Below are 20,687 nucleotides of genomic sequence, written 5' to 3'. Positions count from 1 at the left end.
CTTCTTCCCTTCCTAGGCATATTTGGAAGCAAATCTCAGACATCATATCATTTCATCTGTATATATATATTTTTAAACACGGTCTCACTGTCACCCAGGCTGGAGTTCAGTGGCGTGATCATAGCTTACTGCAGCCTCACACCCCTGGGCTCAAGCAGTCCTGCCTCAGCTTCCCAAGTGGTTAGGAATACAGGCACAGGCAACTATGCCTGGCTTACAATTATTTAAGCACATATTTCTAAAAAAGAATTATTATTAAAAAGAAAAAAAATTGACCACAGTGTTTCACATGTCCGTGTGAAGAGACTACCAAACAGGCTTTGTGTGAGCAACACAGCTGTTTATTTCACCTGGGTGCAAGCGGGCCGAGTCCGAAAAGGGAGTCAGCAAAGGGTGGTGGGATTATCATTGGTTCTTATAGGTTTTGGGATAGGCGGTGGAGTTAAGAGCAATATTTTGGGGGCAGGGGTTGGATCTCACAAAGTACATTCTCAAGGGTGGGGAGAATTACAAAGAACCTTCTTAAGGGTGGGGGAGATTACTGATCAACAAAGTACATTGATCAGTTAGGGTGGGGCAGAAACAAATCACAATGGTGGAATGTTATCAGTTAAGGCTATTTTCACTTCTGTGGATCTTCAGTTGCTTCAGGCCATCTGGATGTATATGTGCAGGTCACTGGGGATATGATGGCTTAGCTTAGGCTCAGAGGCCTGACATTCCTGTCTTCTTATATTAATAAGAAAAATAAAACAAAATAGTGGTAAAGTGTTGGGGCAGCGAAAATTTTTGGGGGTGGTATGGAGAGATAATAGGCGATGTTTCTCAGGGCTGCTTCGAGCGAGATTAGGGGCGGCGTGGGAACCCACAGTGGGAGAGATTCAACTGAAGAAAGATTTGGGGGTAAGGGGTGATATTGTGGGGTTGTTAGAAGGAGCATTTGTCGTATAGAATTATTGGAGATGGCCTGGATGCAGTTTTGTATGAATTGAGAAACTAAATGAAAGACACAAGGTCCGAATAAAAGAAGGAGAAAAATAGGTATTAAAGGACTAAGAATTGGGAGTACCCAGGACATCCAATTAGAGAGTGTCCAAGGGGGTTCAACGTTGTTGTCTGCTTGGTTGGAGAGTTTTTGGGCTCTATCTCTATCCTTAAGTTTTTTTATGTTGTCATATACCAGGCCAGATTGATTTAGGTAAAAACAACACTCTTCATTTAAAAATATACAAAGTCCTCCTTTTTCAGCAGTGAGTAAGTCGAGGCTTCAGTGATTTTCAAGGAAAGAGAGGAGGTGGGAAGGCCAAACTGAGGAATTATGTCTGACAGAAGGGAAGAAATGACCGCGGTGGCCTTCTTAGACCCTGTGGGAAAGGCCTCTACCCACCCAGTGAAATGTCTACCCAAACCAAGAGGTATTTTAGTTTCCTGACTTGAAGCATGTGAGTAAAGTCAATTTGCCAGTCCTCGGCGGGGCAAATCCCCGAGCTTGATGTGTAGGGAAGGGAGGGGGCCTGAACAATCCCTGCAGGGTAGTAGAATAGCAGATGGAACATTGAGAAGTGATTTCCTTGAGGATAGATTTCCACGATGGAAAGGAAATGAGAGGTTCTAAGAGACGGGTTAGCAGCTTGTAACCTACATGGAAGTGGTTATGAAATGACGACAGAATAGAATGGGCCTGTGAGGCTGGAAGGAGATATTTTCCTTGGTCCAAGAACCATTTGCCTTGTGTGGGAAGAGATTGATAGGCGGAAGTTTCAGTGGGGGAGTAGGTGGGAGTGACCAGATGAGAAGGAGAAAAACTGCCATGAAGGATAGAAGTTAGAATGCTAGCTGCTTTTTAGCTACCTTATCAGCATAAGCGTTGCCTTGAGCAGTGAGATCTGATGCCTTGTGATGGCTGTTGCAGTGAGACTCCACTTCCTTTGGAAGTACGGCCTTGCTCAGAGGCCTGACACACAGTATCATTGTCTCACCTTTAAAAAATAGTAATTGCGTAATATTAGTCAGTGTTCAAATATCCTGTGGTCTCAATAACTACTTATTTTCCTACTGTTCATTTGTTAAAATCAGAATCAAAATGAAATTTATACATTGTCATTGGTTGATGTGTCTTTTAGGACAAGTCAAAGACTTTTAAGACCAGGAACACACCAGTAATTGAAAAATTTTGTTTATCATTAATTGCAGCAAGAGGGATGCTATGGTTTGAATATGTCCCCCAAAAAGCATATGTTGGAAACTTAATGCCCAATGTAACAGTGTTGGGAGATGGGGCCTAATGGGAGGGCTCCACCCTCATGAATGGATTAATGCCAATTATGAAAGGGCTTAAGGCTTCGATTTCTATCTGTTGCTCTTTCACTCTTGCACTCTCCTGCACATTTACCTTCCTCCATTGGATAACAACACAAAGCCCCCATAAGATGTGGAGCCCTTGATCTTGGAATTTTCAGCTTCCAGAACTATAAGAAATAAATCTCTGTCTTTATTAATTACCCAATCTCAGTTATTCTGTTATAGCAGCCCAAGATGGACTAAGACGGGGGAACGCACACCATGGGAAACCATGAGAAGACTCAATTAGGAGGTGTTAGGATCTGGGGCTTGATTGGATGATTTGGAAAATGGAGCTGGGGTGCTGAGCGGTTCTATTATCAGAGATGTTCAAACCAGAGTGACTTCATCTTGAGTAGGGACTGAGTAAAATGAGTTGGAGACCTGCTGGGCTGCATTCCCAGGAGGTTAGGCATTCTTAGTCACAGGATGAGATAGGAGGTCAGCACAAGATTCAAGTCACAAAGACCCAGCTGATAAAACAGGATACGGTAAAGAAGCCAAAACCAAGATAGAGACAAAAGTGACTTCTTGCTAATTATAATATATTCACATGCTATCTCCTTTACTGCTTATTGTATGCTAATTTAACACACTAGCATGCTAAAGGACACCCCCACCAGTGCAGTGAAAGTTTACAAATGCCATGGCAACACCTGGAAACTACCCTATATGGTTGAAAAGAAAGAGGAACTCTTTATTCTGGGGAATTCTTGCCCTTTTCCCCAGAAAACTCATGAATAATTCACCCCTTGTTTGGCATATAATCAAGAAATAACCATAAAAATAGCCAACCAGCAGCCCTCAGGGCTGCTCTGTATATGCAGTAGCCATTCTTTTATTCCTTTACTTTCTTAATAAACTTGCTTTCACTTTACTCCATGGACTTGCCCCCAGTCCTTTCTTGAGTGAGATCCAAAAATTGACTCTTGGGGTCTGGATCAGAACCCCTTTCCAGTAAAATTAGATTTTTTTTTTTGAGACATAGTCTCACTCTGCCTAGGAGACCAGCCTGGGCAACATGATGAAACCCTGCCTCTACAAAAAATTTTAAAATTAGCTAGGCATGGTGGCACACACCTATCGCCCCAGTTACTCAGGAGACTGCGGTGGGAGGATCACCTGAGCCAGGAAGGTCGAGTCTGCAGTGAGCCCTGATGGTGCCACTGCACTCCAGCCTGAGTGACAGAGTGAGACCTCGTCTCAAAAAAAATAAGATAATGGGTGATACAGCTAGCCATAAAATGTCTTTAAACAATGGGGTTGGTGCGACTGAAGTTCCATACTCCTGTTTCCCTGGACCTGATAAATTTTACATACATTGCCAGGCACAGTGGCTCAGGCCTGTAATCCCAGTACTTGGGAGGCCGAGGCGCACGCATCACAAGGTCAGGAAATCGAGACCATCCAGGCTAACATGCTGAAACCCCATCTCTACTAAAAATACAAAAAATTAGCTGGGTGTGGTGGCGGGCGCCTATAGTCCCAGGAGGCTGAGGCAGGAGAATGGTGTGAACCCGGGAGGCGGAGCTTGCAGTGAGCCGAGATTGTGCCACTGCACTCCAGCCTGGGTGACAGAGTGAGACTCTGTCTCTAAAAAAAAAAGAAAAAAAAAAAATTTGCATACCTGATATAGCTCAGGCTACTCAGCTATTTTCCTTTCCTCAGGTCTAATTGTTAAAGCAGCAGCAGTCCCTCTTCGTGGCCAAGGAAAGGAATGTTTGGTGTTTTGTGGGTAGCTCAGTGACCTTTTTTTGGTCTGTGCTTAAACAAAATTAAATATCTTTTTTTCTTTTGCAATTTATTTTATTTATGTATCTCCCAACCTGCCCTGCCTCTTTGTCTCTTTTTCCCTTGTGACTTACTTGCCGAAGAAACCATGTGTTTATGGGTTTTGCTGCTGATTACAAACCCATACACTGCCCTTTTTTTTTTTTTTTTTTTTTTTGAGACAGGGTCTTGCCCTGTTGCCCAGGCTAGAGTGCAGTGGCACCATCTTGGCTCACTGCAACCTCTACCACCTGGGCTCAAGCGATTCTCCCACCTTAGCCACCCAAGTAGCTGGGACCACCATGGCCTGCCTTTTTTTTTTTAAATAGAGATGGAGTCTCACTATGTTGCTCAGGCTGTTCTCAAATTTTTGGTCTCAAGTGATCCTCCCACCTTGGCCTCCCAAAGTTCTAGGAATACAGGCATGAGCCACTGTGCCCTGCCAGGGTGTACTTTAATATATATCTGTGTCCTGTGTGTTCTCTGTAAATTAGTAGTTACAGCTAGAGGACTGGACACTTTTAAGTTTAAATTCTTCCAGCAAGACTATAAAAAAGGTGTTTTATCTTCATAATTTATTTTAAAAATTAGATATGGGTAAAAGAACAGACATAGAAAGATTATTGCCATTTAACATAACCCTTGCAAATAACAGATGGTAAATTGGTACCAACATAATTATAAACAAAAAGCAAAACTCTGGCACTAAGATGGCATGGTAGTATTGATACTGGTGAGCTAGGGAAGATCTCCAAACGCTGGTGGGACCCTGACCCTGGCTGGTGTCCAGGCCCTTGATACCATCTCGGGAAGGAATTCAACAAGTCAGAAAATAGTGAAAGTGGCTGGGAGCGGTGGCTCAGGCCTGTAAACCCAGCACTTTGGGAGGCCGAGTGTATCCATTTCAATATCAAAAGTAAGAAATAAAATACCCCATACAAAAATTGATTAGCAAGCTCAATTATCTTGTGGTGGCTTCCTTATAATAAAAATAAAATAATAATAATAATAAAAAAGTGGATACATGTTTTTCTCAGCATCTATTCCTTCTTCTGGTAATGGTACCTCAGTTTCTCTTCAGGGGACCAGAAAGACCCCATTGCACACAGTCTTGGGACTACTACTTGAGGTACTCAAAACATTCCCACCAGAGGTGTGCCTGTGTCCAAAGCCAAAGGTATTCAAAACATTCCCACCAGAGGTGTGCCTGTGTCCAAAGCCAAAAGGTATTGAAGCTGATTAATTCTAATAGAAGAACCCTAAGGAAAGTTCTAGACCCCAAACTACTCTGGGTATTGTCTTCTCCAGGGCCTCATTCTTCATCTTTTCCTTTGACTCTATGAGTTACCACACATTTTGTTTGCAAACCAAGAACCCTAACTTAGAGCCCTGTATTATCTTTATCTTTCCTTCTTTGAGTCTTGCTTAGTTTTTTTTTTTTGTTTTGTTTTTTTGTTTTTTTGTTTTTTTTGGAGACAGAGTATCACTCTGTTGCCCAGGCTGGAGTACAGTGGCATGATCTCAGCTCACTGCAACTTCTGCCTCCTGGGATCAAGCAATTCTCCTGCCTCAGCCTCCCGAGTACCTGGGACCACAGGCATGTGCCACCATGACCAGCTAATTTTTGTATTTTTAGTAGAGACTGGGTTTCACCATGTTGCCCAGGGTGGTCTTGAACTCCTGATCTCAAGTGATCCACCCACCTCAGCCTCCCAAAGTGCTGAAATTATAGGCATGAGCCACTGTGCCCAGCCTTGCTTAGGTTTTCTAACTGTTGCCATTCCCACCTCCAACTCCTAAAGAGAATTATAGACAAGGCAATACTTGCAAGTTCAGATAGTAGACTGTCCATGTCTGGGAGGCCATTACACAGAGGCAAGAACCATAGCCAGCAAGTTGTTTAGGCCAGCAAGCTTAAAAAGCAAGGGCCAGACCTCTGTATGAGGAAAGGGCTAGAGTAAGAGGCCTATGATAAAATTCTGAAACAAGGACTTTTGAAGTCTAGTTATCTAAAAAACACAGGGCTCAAATGTAAGAACAAACAGAATCATAACTATCATCAGGTTGCTTTGCACAAGCATAAAAACTAATGATGTATGATATTATTTTCGACTTACTAAAAATCAAAATAAAAAAGACTAATGATGTATATACCTGGTTTTATTTTTGGAGTTTTAAGTTTTGGTTACTGTGCTGGAGGGATAGTAGGATATGCTTAAGTCACCAGCCCCTCCATAAAAGTCTCAGATCCTAAAACTCAAAGGGGCTTCCCTGGGCAGAGACATATCCCAAATTCACTGCCAGAGAGAGAAAGTGAGAGCGAGGGAACTCCTATGTAGTACCCAATGGGAAATGCTTAGGAAGCCTGTGCCTGGCCTCTCTGAACTCCCTTGATGCATATCTTTTTCCCACTGCTTTTGCTCTGTAACCTTTGCTGTAATAAGCCTTACCACGAATATTACTTGCTATTCCATCTTGTGAGTCTTTCTACCTAATCACTGAACTTGGGTCATGGGACCGCCGAAACAGAAGGCATGGGAGGAGTTCAGGGAGTACAGGATAGAGGAGGACCTGGTGAGCCTAGGGCCTTGGAAGAAGCTGATCAGGAAAACAAAATATATTGATTACAACAAAATCAAGTTGTAATAATTGTGGGACAGGAAAAAAAAACTATACTCAGTTTTTGTGATTTTGTAGGAAAATGGGCACTCCATTATACTAACTTGGGAAAATAAGTAAGTCCAGTTTTTTGGAACTACAATCTGTCAACATAAACCCAAAGCCTTAAAATGTACATGAACCTTGACCCAGCAATTCCACTTCTAAATCTAACCTAGAGAAATAATAATGTATAGCTCAAGATTTTAATTACAAAAATATTCATCACAATGTTATTTTATAAATTTATAAATCAGAAACAATTTCAGTGTCCAACACTGCATTAAATAAATCATGGTATATTAATTTAGTGGCATTTTAACAACCATTAAAAATGACTTATAAATTTTTATATGTGTATAAGTTACATGCAGAATACCAGCCTGGCCAATATGGTGAAACCCTGTCTCTACTGAAAATACAAAAAATTAGCTGGGCGTGGTGGCAGGCACCTGTAGTCCCAGCTACTCGGGAGGCTGAGGCAGGAGAATCCCTTGAACCTGGGAGGCAGAGGTTGCAGTGAGCTGAGATTGCACCACTGCACTCCAGCCTGGATGATAGAGTGAGACTCTGTTTCAGAAAAAAAGAATAATATACAAGGAACCAAAAAGTGGTTGATTCCTGAGAGGAGAACAGGGAACAGAGTGACTAGGGAACAAAGATGGGAGAGAAGTTATTCTTATTGCATAAGTAACTTTTGTATTTTAAAGTTGTGTGCTGTTGTCTTGTAATACTTATTCAAAAAGTAAATATATGTTTTAGAATTCAATGAAAAATAAAGTGCTCAACATAGAATGTTAAAATTGGATTACGAAACAGTAAAGTGTTATCACATTATTATTTATGTATTTTTTAAAGTACATAAATAGGAAGATATGGATCAAAATGTTTTGCTTGGCTATATTTCCTGTTAAACATATGTTATTTTGGTAATAAGAAAAAAAGATAGCTGAGCATGGCGGCACGCACCTGTGGTCCCAGCTACTCGGGAGGCTGAGGTGGGAGGATTGCTTGAGCCCAGGTGGTTGAGGCCACAGTGAGCCATGACTGTACCACTGCACTCAAGCCTGGGTGACAGAGCAAGACCCCATCTTTAAAAAAAGTACCAAATAGGCCAGGAGCGGTAGCTCATGCCTGTAATCCCAGCGCTTTGGGATACCGAGGAGGGGAGGATCACTTGAGTCTAGGAGTTCAAGACCAGCTTGGGCAACATGATGAAACCCTGTCTCTACAAAAAATACAAAAAGTATTCAGTCATGGTGGTGCACACCTGTAATCCTAGCTACTGAGGAGGTTGAGGCAGGAGGATCATTTGAGTCAGGGAGTTCGAAGCTGCAGTGAGCCATGATCACACCACTGCACTCCAGCCTGGGTGACAGCGCAAGACCCTGTCTCAAAAACAACAACAACAACAACAACAAAACCCACGAATTTTAAAAAATAATAAATAAAAATTTACAAAGAAAAAATAGAGAAGTAGAAAACGAAAATCTCCTCAGTTCTTAGCAGCTACCAATCCAGAGCCAGCAGTCTTGGTGTGATTGGCCACTACCTCTTCCTCTTCTAGGGAACAGGGGGATGTCCAGAAACAAACTAAAGAACTTCTTATAGGTCAGAGGGAGGTGGAGTTTCAGTAGCTTCTATGCAGGGTTGGCTTTATGGGTATGTGACCTATGCAGTCACACAGGACCCTGTAGTTGGTTTAATGCTCTGTTGTCACAGCTTTGAAATTCTTAATAATTTTGAATAAAGAACTTCACATTTTCATTTTGCATTGGGCGCTGCAAATTATGAAGCCGGTCCTACTTCTATGTCCAAGGCTGATCGCTTCTCTACCACTGTTAGTATTACCAAACTGTCCATTTGAAATTCCATGAAAAAGTTTTTCACTGCCAGTGTTTAAAATCCAAATGTCTGCTTGAACTTTGTGATCTAAATGTATTATTTCAATCAATAAACTATAAGCTAGGCATGGTGGCTCACACCTGTAATCCCAGCACTTTGGGAGCCAGAGAAGGGAGGATCACTTGAGCCAAGGAGTTTAAGAGCAGCCTGGGCAACATGATGAGACCCTGTGTCTACAGACAACAACAACAACAACACAAAGTTATTTTTTGAGACAGTCTTGCCCGTTGCCCAGGGCGGAGTGCAGTGGCACGATCTCAGCTCACTGCAACCTCTGCTTCCTAGGTTGAAGTGATTTTCCTGCCTCAGCCTCCCAAATAGCTGGGATTACAGATCCGCACCACCATGCCTAGCTATTTTTTTTGTGTTTTGTAGGAGAGAGAGAGTTTCGTCATGTTGGCCAAGCTGGTCTCCAACTGCTGGCCTCAAGTGATCCACCTCCCCTGGCCTCACAAAATGCTGGGATTACAGGCATGAACCACCACACCTGGTGTACAATTTTTTTTTTTTGTTAATTTAGCCAGGCATGGTGGCATGTACTTGTAGTCCAGCTACTCAGGACGCTGAGGTGGGAGAATCGCTTGAACTCAGGAGGTTGAGGCTGTAGTGAGCCATGATCATGTCACTGTACTCTAGCCTAGATGACAAACTAAGACCCTGTTTCAAAAAAAAAAGTATGAGTGTATTGTCTCAGATATGACTAGGGGAGTGAGAGAAGCGCCACAAGCTAGGGACTTCAGTTTCCCTAAATGGGGACTAGATGTCCCTGCTGGGAAGAGGGAAGAAGATGCAAAAACAAAACAGAGTAGGCACAAAGATTCTCTCCAGTGAAATCACAATTCTAGGATTTGCTCTTTAGCTTCAATGAACATAGTCAAACAAAACTGTGCCTGGAAGTAATTTTGCCCAATAGTGTAAAGGCAAAAACCTCTGCTTTGCCAGGCCTGAGACTCTAAAAAAATACAGCTGACTTTACTTTAAAAAGGAATTTAAGTCCTAGAAGGTTTGTGGATGTATTCCCAATCGTATAGTGCCTGATTTGCAACTACTTCTGGGGTAAATCCCTGGGTTATCCATTCCTGGTTACCAGTTCCTCTCAGTTCCAAGAGTACTCATTCCCAGCTCTCCCATTAAATCCTCAGACAAGAAACTGAGGTGGTGTCCTGGGTGATGGCTCCCACTTAATTGCAGTATCTCTCCCTCACTGCCCCCTTTCCTTCTCTCTTTCTTTGTCCCTCTTATGTATATCTCTTTCTCCATAATGCCTTTCTCTCTTTCTCTCCTCATTTCCAATTTTTGCTTAATGATCTTAGAAAAATATGTTTTCTTTCCCTTCCGTCATTTTGTTTGTAAATGCTGGATTACCTCAATGATGGTTAAGCTCGAGAATGGTGAAATTTATACCAGGGAAAAGAGAAGATAAGCTTATATGTTTGTCCTAAAGAATCAGTATCTAAAGCACAAAAAGCATCCTTGGGAATCTCCTACAAATTATTTTCCCATACTTTTTCCTTCATTTTAATGTTTCTTCTAAAATAAAAAAGTATTCAAACTTTCAACAAGAATTTTCATTCTATTTTCTTATTTCTTATTGTGGCATTAATTTTTAAATATTAAATAATTTTTTAAAGACAATTTTTTGGGAGTTGTAGGTTCACAGCAAAACTGAGCAGAAAGTACACATTTCACACATACCCCCTGCATGCATAGCCTCCCTTACTATCAATATCCCCCACCAGAATGTGTCATTTGTTATAAAGGATGAACCGGCCTTGACACATCATAATCGAAGTCCATAGGTTACATTAGGGTTCACTCTTGGTGTTGTATAGTCTGTGGATTTGGAAACATGTTTAATGACATGTATCCATCATTACAGCATCATACAGAATATTTTCCCTGTCCTAAATATTTACCCTCCCCACTAATACCTGGCAGCTACTGATCTTTTCATTGTCTCCATAGTTTTGTCTTTTTGAGAATATTATGTAGTTGAAATCATACAGTATGAAGCCTTTTCAGATTGGCTTCTTTCAGTTAGTAATATGTATTTAAGTTTCTTCTGTCTTTTCATGGCTTGTTAGCGCATTTCTTTTTAGTCCTAAATATATTCCATTGTCTGGATGTATCTCAGTTTATTCACTCATTGAAGGACATCTTGGTTGCTTCCAAGTTTTGGCAATTATAAATACGTTTGCTATCGATGTATGCAGGTTTTTGTGTAGACTTAAGTTTTCCACTCCGTTAGGTAAATACCAAGGAGTGACATGCTGTATTGTATGTTAAAAGTATAGTAATAAACTATACTTAGTTTAGTAAGAAACTGCCAAACTGTCTTCCAAAGTGGCTGTACCATTTTGCATTCCCACCAGCAATAAATTAGAGTTCCTGCTGCTCCCCATCCTCATTAGCATTTGATGTTGTCAGTGTTTTTGGTTTTGGTCATTCTAATAGGTGTAAAGAGGTATTTGACTATCGTTTTAATTTGCATTTCTCTGATGATGTATGATGTGGAGCATCTTTTCATGTGGTTATTTTCCATCTGTATATCATCTTTGATGAGATGTCTGTTAAGGTCTTTGGCCCATTTTTAATCAAACTTTTATATATTAAACAACTTTTATATATTTTTAAATGAATTTTCAACTTTAATATACAAAGTTGTTTGCTTACTGTGGAGTTTTAAGATTTCTTTGTATATTTTGGATAATACCTCTTTATCAGATACATCTTTTGCAAATATTTTCTGTGGCTTCTCATTCTCTTGAAAATTTAAGTGATTTTCAACTTTTTTTTTTTTTTAATGAGCCTATACCCAGTTTTTGCATTTAAGGTTTTCACCAATGCTCACCTCAACACCAATGACAATTTATAATATTCTTTCAATGGGAAAACATAGTCCTCTCTGCAAATGGTTGACTTCTAAACAAACTGTTGGAATATGATTCATTTGCACCAATAAGAGACCACTATTACAGAACAAGTTTAGCAGGAGGGTGGGAATAAGTCTGATGGCAAAAGTCTAAAGAGGGTTAAGTTTGACAATGAGAAAAGACAGACTAGACAGCAGAGTAAGACCCTGTCTCCAAATAAATAAATAAATAGCAGTAATCCAGGCTACTAAAATGGCAAGTTTTAAGTGAGTGAACATATTTTCCAGTTATGTTCTAAAATTTTGAATTCCTCATTAATTTCCCCATACTCCAGATCCTTAGAACCCTCTAGTGTCCGTATGAGGAATTGGTTTAGGTGAACCAAGTAAAATGCTTTTAATTTTTACATTCATGTTTTTAATATATATATATATATATATATATATATATACACACACACATATACATACACATATATATACACATATATATACATATACATATATATACACACATATACGTGTGTATATATATATGCTGGATGTAGTGACTCATGCCTGTACTCCTAGCACTTCAGGAGGCTGAGATCGGTGGATTGCTTGAGCCCAGGAGTTTGACACCAGCTTGGGCAACATGGCGAAATCCTGTCTCTACAAAAAATACAAAAATTAGCTGGGCATGGTGGTGCATGCCTGTAGTCCCAGCTACTGGGGAGGCTGAGGTGGGGGATCACTTGAGCAGTGAGCCGTGATCATGTCACTGCACTCCAGCCTAGGCAACAAGGCAAGACCCAGTCTCAAAATGTATACATATATTATCAAATACAAAAAACCTTTAGAAGTGTGCTTGTCTGACTTCCAATTTAAGACAACAGACTAAGCACATGCATCTGCCTCCCCCTTCTTAGGATCTGAGTGACATGACAGGAAAGTGGTACAAGCAATAATTTTGTGGCAACACTGAAAAGAAAGAAGGACCAGTGGTCCAGAAACTGCAATACCTCCAGGAAAGAAGGACCAGTGGTTCAGAAACTGTATTAAAAACTCTAGAAAACAGAAAGTAGATGGATTCATACTAATTGGTTTACCTATAATTTCCACAATATACCCGCGGTGAAATGAAGTTTGGAGATGTGAAGTACTCGAGAGATTCCAAGAACAAAACAGAGCATTACAGAGGGAGGGAGTGGCCTATGAAGCAGCAGCTCAAGAACAGCCGTGTGTCACTTAACAGGGATAGGTTCTGAGAAATGTGTCACTAGGCGATTTCCTCACTGTGTGAACATACAGTGTACTTACATAAACTTAGATGGTATAGCCTATTGCTCCTAAGCAATACAATATGTTACTGTATTGATACTGTAAGCAGTGGTAAATATTTGTCTATCTAAACATATGTAAACGTAGAAAAGGTACAGTAAAAATATGGCATAAAAGATAAAAAATGGTACACCCATATAGGGTACTTAACTTGAATGGAGTTTGTGGGACTGGAAGTTGCTCTGGGCAAGTCAGTGAGTGAGTGGTCAGTGAACATGAAGGCCAGGGGCATTAGTGTACACTACTATGGACTTTATAAACACTGTACACTTAGGCTATGCTAAAAATATTTTTCTTGTTTTAATAATCAATTAACCTTAGCTTACTGTAACTTTTTAAATTTATAAACTTTTAATTTTATATAACTTTTTGACTCACAATATCACTTAGCTTAAAACATACGTTGGCCAGAACAAGCCTATAATCCCAACATTTTGGGGGGCTGAGGTGGGATGATCCCTTGAGCCCAGGAGTTCAAGACCAGCCTGAGCAACATAGTGAGACCTCGTCTCTACAAAAAGTAAAAAAATTAGCTGAGTGCGGTGGTGCATGCCTGTAGTCCCAGGTACTTGGGAGCCTGAGTTGGGAGGATCCCTTGAGCTTGGGAGGCAGAGGTTGCAGTGAGCCAAGATTGTGCCACTGCCCTCCAGTCTGGGTGACAGAATGAGACCCTGTTTCAAAACAAAAACCAAAAAACACATTCACACACATTATACAGCTGTACGAAAATATTTTTTCTTTATATCCTTGCTCTAAAAGCTTTCCTCTAATTTTTTTTTTTTTAACTTTTAAAGACACAAACCCATACATTAGCCCCAGCCATGTAGGGGCTATTGATCAGGATCATCAATATCACTGTCTTCACTTCCACATCTTGTCTCACTGGAAGGTGTTCAGGGGCAATAACACACATGGAGCTGTCATATCCTACAGTAACAGTGCCTTCTGGAACTCCTCCTGAAGGGCATGCCTGAGGCTGTTTTACAGTTAACTTTCTAAAGTAGGGGTACACTCTAAAATAACAAGTATAGTATAGTAAATACATAAACCAGGAACAGTCATTTATAATTATCCAGTATTATGTACTGTACATAATTGTAAGTGCTAGACTTTTATAGGACTGGCAGCACAGGTTTGTTTACAAACAGCATCACTACAAACAAGTGAGTAATATGTTGTGCTAGGGCATTACAAGGCTATCATGCCACTGGGAGATAGGAATTTTTCGGCTCCATTATAAGCTTATGGGACCACTATCATATTTGCAGTTTGTCAGTGACAAAAACGTCTTTATGTGGCACATAACTGTAGCTGATTAGATCACTGGCTATCACACTTCAGGGCAAAGACTTTCTTCCCCCAGGTGCAGAGAACAAATGGTTGAAGCATTTCCTCTGGTTGCAGTCCTGCAAACTGCTTTCCAAAGACAGTACTGAGCCTCAGATGATGTAGACCTCCTCAAAGTCCTGAAGAGTAGAAAAATGCTCCTCCCCTACAGAATAATTTTTTTTGGAAATTGTGAGGCCCCTGTCATCCTACAACGACACTAACAGGACACTTGTCAGTCACAAGACCAACTGTGAGCAGGCAATCAGCCCTGCATTCCGGGCAAGGCTTTGGTGTAAGCAGCTCTTCACAACTGCCGCCGTGTCCACGCCTGCCACTTAACCTCATCGACTCTACAGGGCTAAGCTGTCCCTGAAGAGGTGTAATGTTATGGCTGGGCCTATGACTTACCACTGATCTGACGCAGGGGTTACAGACAGTCAGCAGGTCTATGACTATTAATGGATTGTATCTTTCCATAGAGAGCTGAAAAGCCAAGGATAAAATGCTCACCTTATAATTTACTTTTGGAAAACTCAACATCTTACCTTTTCACCTTTTTGGATTGCAACATAAACATCACAGAATTTCTGATATTAAATTTATTTTGGAATGTATGTGTATTATTTTTTACTTGGCAAGGGGTATAAATTCAGAAAATGTTCAATTTAGTTTTTTAAAAACTGGTTTAACAGTTTGTCTGAAGCAGATTAGTGGCCCATGATCTTCATTAATCTTTTGAGCAATAAATGTTTAAATTGTTCAATCTGTGTCAAAACCAATCTGGCCCATTGCTTTATTTCTTTTTTTAAACAAAGTTTAAGGCCAGGAGCAGTGGCTCATGCCTGTAATCCCAAAGCTTGGGAGGCCGAGGCAGGCGGATCACTTGAGGCCAGAAGTTGGAGACCAGCCTGGCCAACATGGTGAAATCCCGTCTCTACTACTAAAAATACAAAAATTAGCCAGGCGTGGTGGTGCATGCCCGTAATCTCAGCTACTCGGAGGCTGAGGCGCGAGAATTGCTTGAGCCCAGGAGGCAGAGGTTGCAGTGAGCTGAGATCGAGCCACTGCACTCCAGCCTGGGTAACAGAGCAAGACTCTGTCCCAAATTTAGATGTTAAAATGCCAATTGCGGAGTCACATCTGATTCACTTAACTTGATTATGCTTCCACTAAATAAAAACAACAGTCTCAGAGTAATAACAGTACCAAATGTGAAAATAAATTGAGTAAAAAAACCCCAAACATAGTGAAGGAGAAAATCAGCAAGTAAAATAAAGATGATGATGATAATAGTAACAACAAAAAGTATTTACATTTTGTTGTTGTTTTGGAGGCAGGGTCTTTCTCTGTCACCCAGGCTGGAGTGTAGTGGCATGATCATGGCTCTCTGCAGCCTCAATCTTCTGGGCTCAAGTGATCCTCCAGCCTCAGTCTTATAAAGTGCTGGGATTACAGGCATGAGCCTAAATTAGTGCCTGGCCTAAATTTTCTAATGTGACATGACTCAAGAATTCCACTTCTAGGAGTTTATATAGTGGAGAATACAAGAAGCAACATAATTATGTGGTTATTTCCATGTTATTTTGTATTCTTCTACAGAATACAAAGGAATTAGCAATATTTTTCTGTAAAATGCCAGAGAGTATATGTTTTAGGCATTGCAAAAACATGACCTGTTGGAAATACTCAACTCTGCAGTTGCAGCATGAAAGCAGCCATGGAAAATAAGTTAACGAGTGAGCATGGATGTGTTCAAAGAAAACTTTACTTATGGACAATAGATTTCACAGTTTTATACCATTTTCACATGTCATCAAATAATCTTTTGATTTTCCAACCATTTAAAAATGTAGGCTGGCTGCAGTGGCTCATGACTGTAATCCCAGCATCTTGGGAGGACGAGGTGGGCAGATTGTTTGAGCTGAGGAGTTTGAGACCAGTCTGGGCAACGTGGCAAAACGCCACTGTTTAAATGAGGGGAAGTCCAAATGTTAGATTCTGGACTTGGCTCTTCCTCTACTTAGCTGCCAACCATGATAAACACGTTAAACCTTAAAAAAAAAAAGCAAACCATTTTTCTATTTAGAGCATGTTAAATCTTACTTTTTCCCATAAAGTCTTCCTTGATTCATTAGTTGTCCTTTACTTTTTTTTTTTTTTTTTTTTTTTCTTGAGACGGAGTCTCGCTCTGTTGCCCAGGCTGGAGTGCAGTGGCACGATCTCGGCTCACTGCAAGCTCCGCCTCCCGGGTTCAGGCCATTCTCCTGCCTCAGCCTCCCGAGTAGCTGGGACTACAGGCACCCGCCACCACGCCCGGCTAATTTTTTGTATTTTTAGTAGAGACGGGGTTTCACTGTGTTAGCCAGGATGGTCTCGATCTCCTGACCTTGTGATCCGCCCGCCTCTGCCTCCCAAAGTGCTGGGATTATAGGCGTGAGCCACCACACCCGGCCTGTCCTTTTAAACAAACTGAAATTTATACAATCTATATTGGTCTGCTCAGGCTGCCGTAACAAAATACCAGACTAGGTGGTTTAAACAAAGAAGTTTATTTTCTCACAGTTCTGGAGGTTAGAAGTCTGAGATGAGGATATCACCAGCATGGTTAGGTTCTGGTGAGGACTCTCTGGCTTACAGCTGGCTGCTTTCTCACCATGTCTTCACATGGCCCAAAGAGACAGAACAAGCTCTCTGGTGTCTTTTCTTGTAAGGACAATAATCCCATCACGAAGTCCCCAACCTCTTCACCTCATTCAAACACACTTACCTTCCAAAAGGCCCATCTCCCAATACCACCACGTTGGAGGTTAGGGCTTCAACATACGAGTTTTAAGGTGGCACAGTCAGTCTATTAACTTCCTGTCCATATATTAGTTATGTATTAGGCATTATGTATTACCTAATACATAGCTAATCTGTATTAGTCAGGGTTTTCCAGAGAAACAAACACATACACACATCCTGAGAGAGATAAGAGAGAGAGACTCATATAGAAGGAGCTCCAAAATATTTTTTTTTGTGTGTGTGTGAGACGGTTTCACTCTTGTTGCCCAGGCTTGGAGTGCAATGGCACGATGTCGGCTCACTGCAACCTCTGTCTGCCGGGTTCAAACAATTTTCCTACCTCAGCCTCCCAAGTAGCTGGGATTACAGGTATGTGCTACCACGCCTGGATACTTTTGTATTTTTAGTAGAGATGGGGTTTCACCATGTTGATCAGGCTGGTCTTGAACTCCTGACCTCAGGTGATCCACCCACCTTGGCCTCCCAAGGTGCTGGGATTACAGGTGTGAGCCAGCATGCCTGGCCTCCAGAATATTTTAAGGGAGTACAGAACCACTATGGTGAGTATAAGCTGGGCATAGTGATGCAAGCCTGTAGTGTCAGATACTTGGAAGGAGGAGGTGAAGGATCACTTGAGTCCAGGAGTTCAAGGTGCACTCCAACCTGGGAGGCAGAGTGAGACCCTGTCAAACAAACACCACCACCAAAAAGCCCCAAACAGAACAGTTAGTATATGCCATCTTTTTTTTTTAAGTGTATGTGTATGTATATTTGAATACTCATATGGTATCTATCATTAGAAAGATACACAAAAAACTGGAAAATGTGGTAGTGGAACAGACTTAATTTTCATTGCATGCCTTTGTATTTTTTGAATTAGAAAAAAAAAAGTCCTGTGTGTATACTTTTTCTTTAAAAATTTTTAAAAAAGGATTTTGTTACTACATAGGATACTCTTACAAATTAAGAAGAAAGTCAAACATCCAAACAGAAAAATGGGCAAAGGAAAAGAAAAATCAATTCACTAAAGAAATACAACCAACTATCAAACGTGGAAAAGTACATAACCCATCTCTGATAAAAATACATGTATATAACAGTAACAAACAATCATTTCCTCTTTATCAAAGTGGCGAACATTTCAAAGCCTTATCACTTCTGATATTGCCAACAGTGTGGAAAACTTTAAATGGTGCAAGTATAAAGCTTGAGATAGGGCAATTTGGCAGTATCCATGAAAACTAAGCAGGGTGCTTAGTGTTACTAAATGATACATTACTTGAGGATACAGGAGTAGTATATATCATAGTGACCTAAAGCATAGGCTCTGGGATTAGATGGCCATTTCCTAGCTTTGAGACACTGACAAATTTCTTAAATTTATGGCCTTAGTTTTTTCATTTATAAAATAGAGATTAAAAGAATTACTTCATAGAGTCTTGTGAGAATTAAGTAGTTTTACACATCTTATAAATTAATAAAGGATATCTGAACTAAGGAACTTATAATAAAAACAGTGATTAAATTTAAAATGTCTTTGTTCATTTACATGGTATATATCACCCTCTACAAAAAAAAATGACACTTGTCTTTCAATCTGTCAAGCTTAGCTAAAAAATTCACGTATCTCTTTTCTATATCACATATTGACATGATATAGGATGCAAGATATAAATATCAATTTAATAGACATTATTAAATAATTTTACACTTAGTAGAATCTTGGATAAATGGTTAAAATTATAGATTGACATTAAGTGTGGGCACAGGAATATTCTGTGTATACCAATGGGTTTAACAGAAGATGTGTTTGCACTGATTTCTGGTCATCAACTTGCTTTCCGTGAATCTTTAAATACCCAATTCCAAATCTTCCAGCTCCTGGAGAAGGGCTGTTTCTTTCTGAATTTTCTCCAACTAGAAAAGTTTGAAACAATGAAGTTATTATGAAATAATTACTGGATATGTAACCAAAATAATACAGAAAAAATGGTATTTCTGACAATTTATTATGTTCACTAGTAAACACAGATTTTAAAATACAGGTTAGAAACAAATTCTAATTTGTTATCTGGTATGAATCGAGGGTGAAAAGAACAGACACTGTCTTACTGCATCCCTTTGGGCCCCAAAAATTTTCAATTCTATATTCGGGCTTAAACATGTTGACAGGAGGAGGGAAAAGGCAAACAGGGCAGTACAACTTGAGAGAATCTTATATTTGTCTAATATAACAAATTGCTATTATTTTCAGCAGTAATAACATAGTATGCCTCTTAGGAATATTGACTTTTTCATTCACATGATCAATACCATATCTCTTCTATTTAAGAGTAAAGCTATTTAAAAGTAAAAACATTAAAAAGAATATGGCATATGGTTTTCAAAATAAGTTTTTAAACTCCATGTGCTCTTTTACCTGACTAAATACTTGTTTATAATAAAAGGGGGAAGGCTGGTGGTCACCACAAGCCTAAATGAAAAATGCAGAAAGTACCTGATTTTTTTCTAGCTGTTTTCCAGTTGCTGCTTGTTCTTTCAGTTGTTCGATTGCTTTCAGTTTCTGCAAACATCAAATATGAGTCAAGAGCATGGAAGAAAAGTCACTTCAAATGCAAATTTCCTTATTAAGAATGTGAAACTCAAGTAAGGAGATTAATTATCTTAGATTTGTATCAACAATGGTCTGTTAAAATGCTAGGATAAATTGTTTTTTAAAGTTAAATGCAAAATTGTAAATGTTAAAAACATGAGATTTGGCAAAATATTATTCTCAGGCTTTTAATTAATGTTATCGTGTATGCATGTGTATATATAAATGTATCAGTAATGGCACATTTCAATGCCCCATTGGACCTGGGTGATGTTTCTGGCTTTGAGAGAAATCTCAATGAGAGCATTCTGAAAGATTGTTGGTCCAAAGTCCTGCCCGATAAAAAGTGAATGAAAGAGAAACCTCATAATGCAGCTGTGAAGGGCTCTAGAGACCTTTTTTTATCCCCAGGGCCACCCCAGCACACTGGCTGCAATATCACAAATCAATACACTTCTTTTTTGTCTCTGTCTCTTCATCTTCAAAACTAGGATAAATATCTGCCCCTAATTATCACAAGGTATCTAATGAAATACTGAGTATAAAAGTATTGAGTGACCAGGTGCAGTGGCTCACACCTGTAATCCCAGCACTTTGGGAGGCTGAGACAGGCAGATCATGAGGTCAGGAGATTGAAACCATCCTGGCTAACACGGTGAAACCCCGTCTCTACTAAAAATACAAAAAATTAGCCAGGTGTGGTGGCAGGCGCCTGTAGTCCCAGCTACTCGGGAGGCTGAGGCAGGAGAATGGCCTGAACCCGGGAGGCGGAGCTTGCAGTGAGCCGAGATCGCGCCACTGCATTCCAACCTGGTCGACAGAGCAAGACTCTGTCTCAAAAAAAAAAATTAAATTAAATTAAAAAGTGTTCAGTGGCCAGGCGAGGAGGCTCACAAATCCCAGCATTTTGGGAGGTCGAGGCGGGTGGATTACCTGAGGGCAGGAGTTTGAGACCAGCCTGGCCAACATGGTGAAACCCTGTCTCTACTAAAAATATAAAAATTAGCCAGGCGTGGTGGCGCACACCTGTAGTCCCAGCTACTCGGGAGGCTGAGGCAGGAGAATCGCTTGAACCTGGGAGGCGGAGGTTGCAGTGAGCCAAGGTTGTGGCACTGT

General features: G+C 40.4%; 1 protein-coding gene and 1 long non-coding RNA gene across 9 annotated transcripts in view, besides 3 other annotated features; one reads left to right on the top strand and one right to left on the bottom strand.

The window, feature by feature from the left end:
* The window catches only part of LOC124900547 (uncharacterized), a 38,807-nt gene that overhangs the window by 443 nt on the left and 17,677 nt on the right, over positions 1 to 20,687 (top strand). The window lies entirely within an intron of this gene.
* Positions 2,640 to 2,849: an enhancer, noted in NCBI's record as "active region_20690". NCBI's record gives its function as "activates an Ori minimal core promoter by ATAC-STARR-seq in GM12878 lymphoblastoid cells {active_cell/tissue: GM12878}" and the evidence as "EXISTENCE:reporter gene assay evidence [ECO:0000049][PMID:35858748]".
* Positions 3,010 to 3,209: an enhancer, noted in NCBI's record as "active region_20689". NCBI's record gives its function as "activates an Ori minimal core promoter by ATAC-STARR-seq in GM12878 lymphoblastoid cells {active_cell/tissue: GM12878}" and the evidence as "EXISTENCE:reporter gene assay evidence [ECO:0000049][PMID:35858748]".
* Positions 3,400 to 3,489: an enhancer, noted in NCBI's record as "active region_20688". NCBI's record gives its function as "activates an Ori minimal core promoter by ATAC-STARR-seq in GM12878 lymphoblastoid cells {active_cell/tissue: GM12878}" and the evidence as "EXISTENCE:reporter gene assay evidence [ECO:0000049][PMID:35858748]".
* The window catches only part of EIF2A (eukaryotic translation initiation factor 2A), a 39,230-nt gene continuing 35,267 nt past the window's right edge, over positions 16,725 to 20,687 (bottom strand). For all 8 annotated transcript variants that reach the window (NM_032025.5, XM_011513224.3, NM_001319046.2 and 5 more), the window contains 2 exons: positions 19,476 to 19,541; positions 16,725 to 18,895 (listed from right to left, as the gene is read on the bottom strand). In NM_032025.5, the coding sequence (NP_114414.2) occupies positions 18,830 to 18,895; positions 19,476 to 19,541 (132 nt within the window). In that variant the 3' untranslated portion in view covers positions 16,725 to 18,829. The remainder of the gene's footprint in view (positions 18,896 to 19,475; positions 19,542 to 20,687) is intronic.

Source organism: Homo sapiens, chromosome 3 (assembly GCF_000001405.40).
Source record: "Homo sapiens chromosome 3, GRCh38.p14 Primary Assembly".
Lineage (NCBI taxonomy): Eukaryota > Metazoa > Chordata > Mammalia > Primates > Hominidae > Homo > Homo sapiens.
The sequence above is the reverse complement of the archived record's forward strand: the minus strand, read 5'-3'. Positions and strand labels throughout refer to the sequence as shown.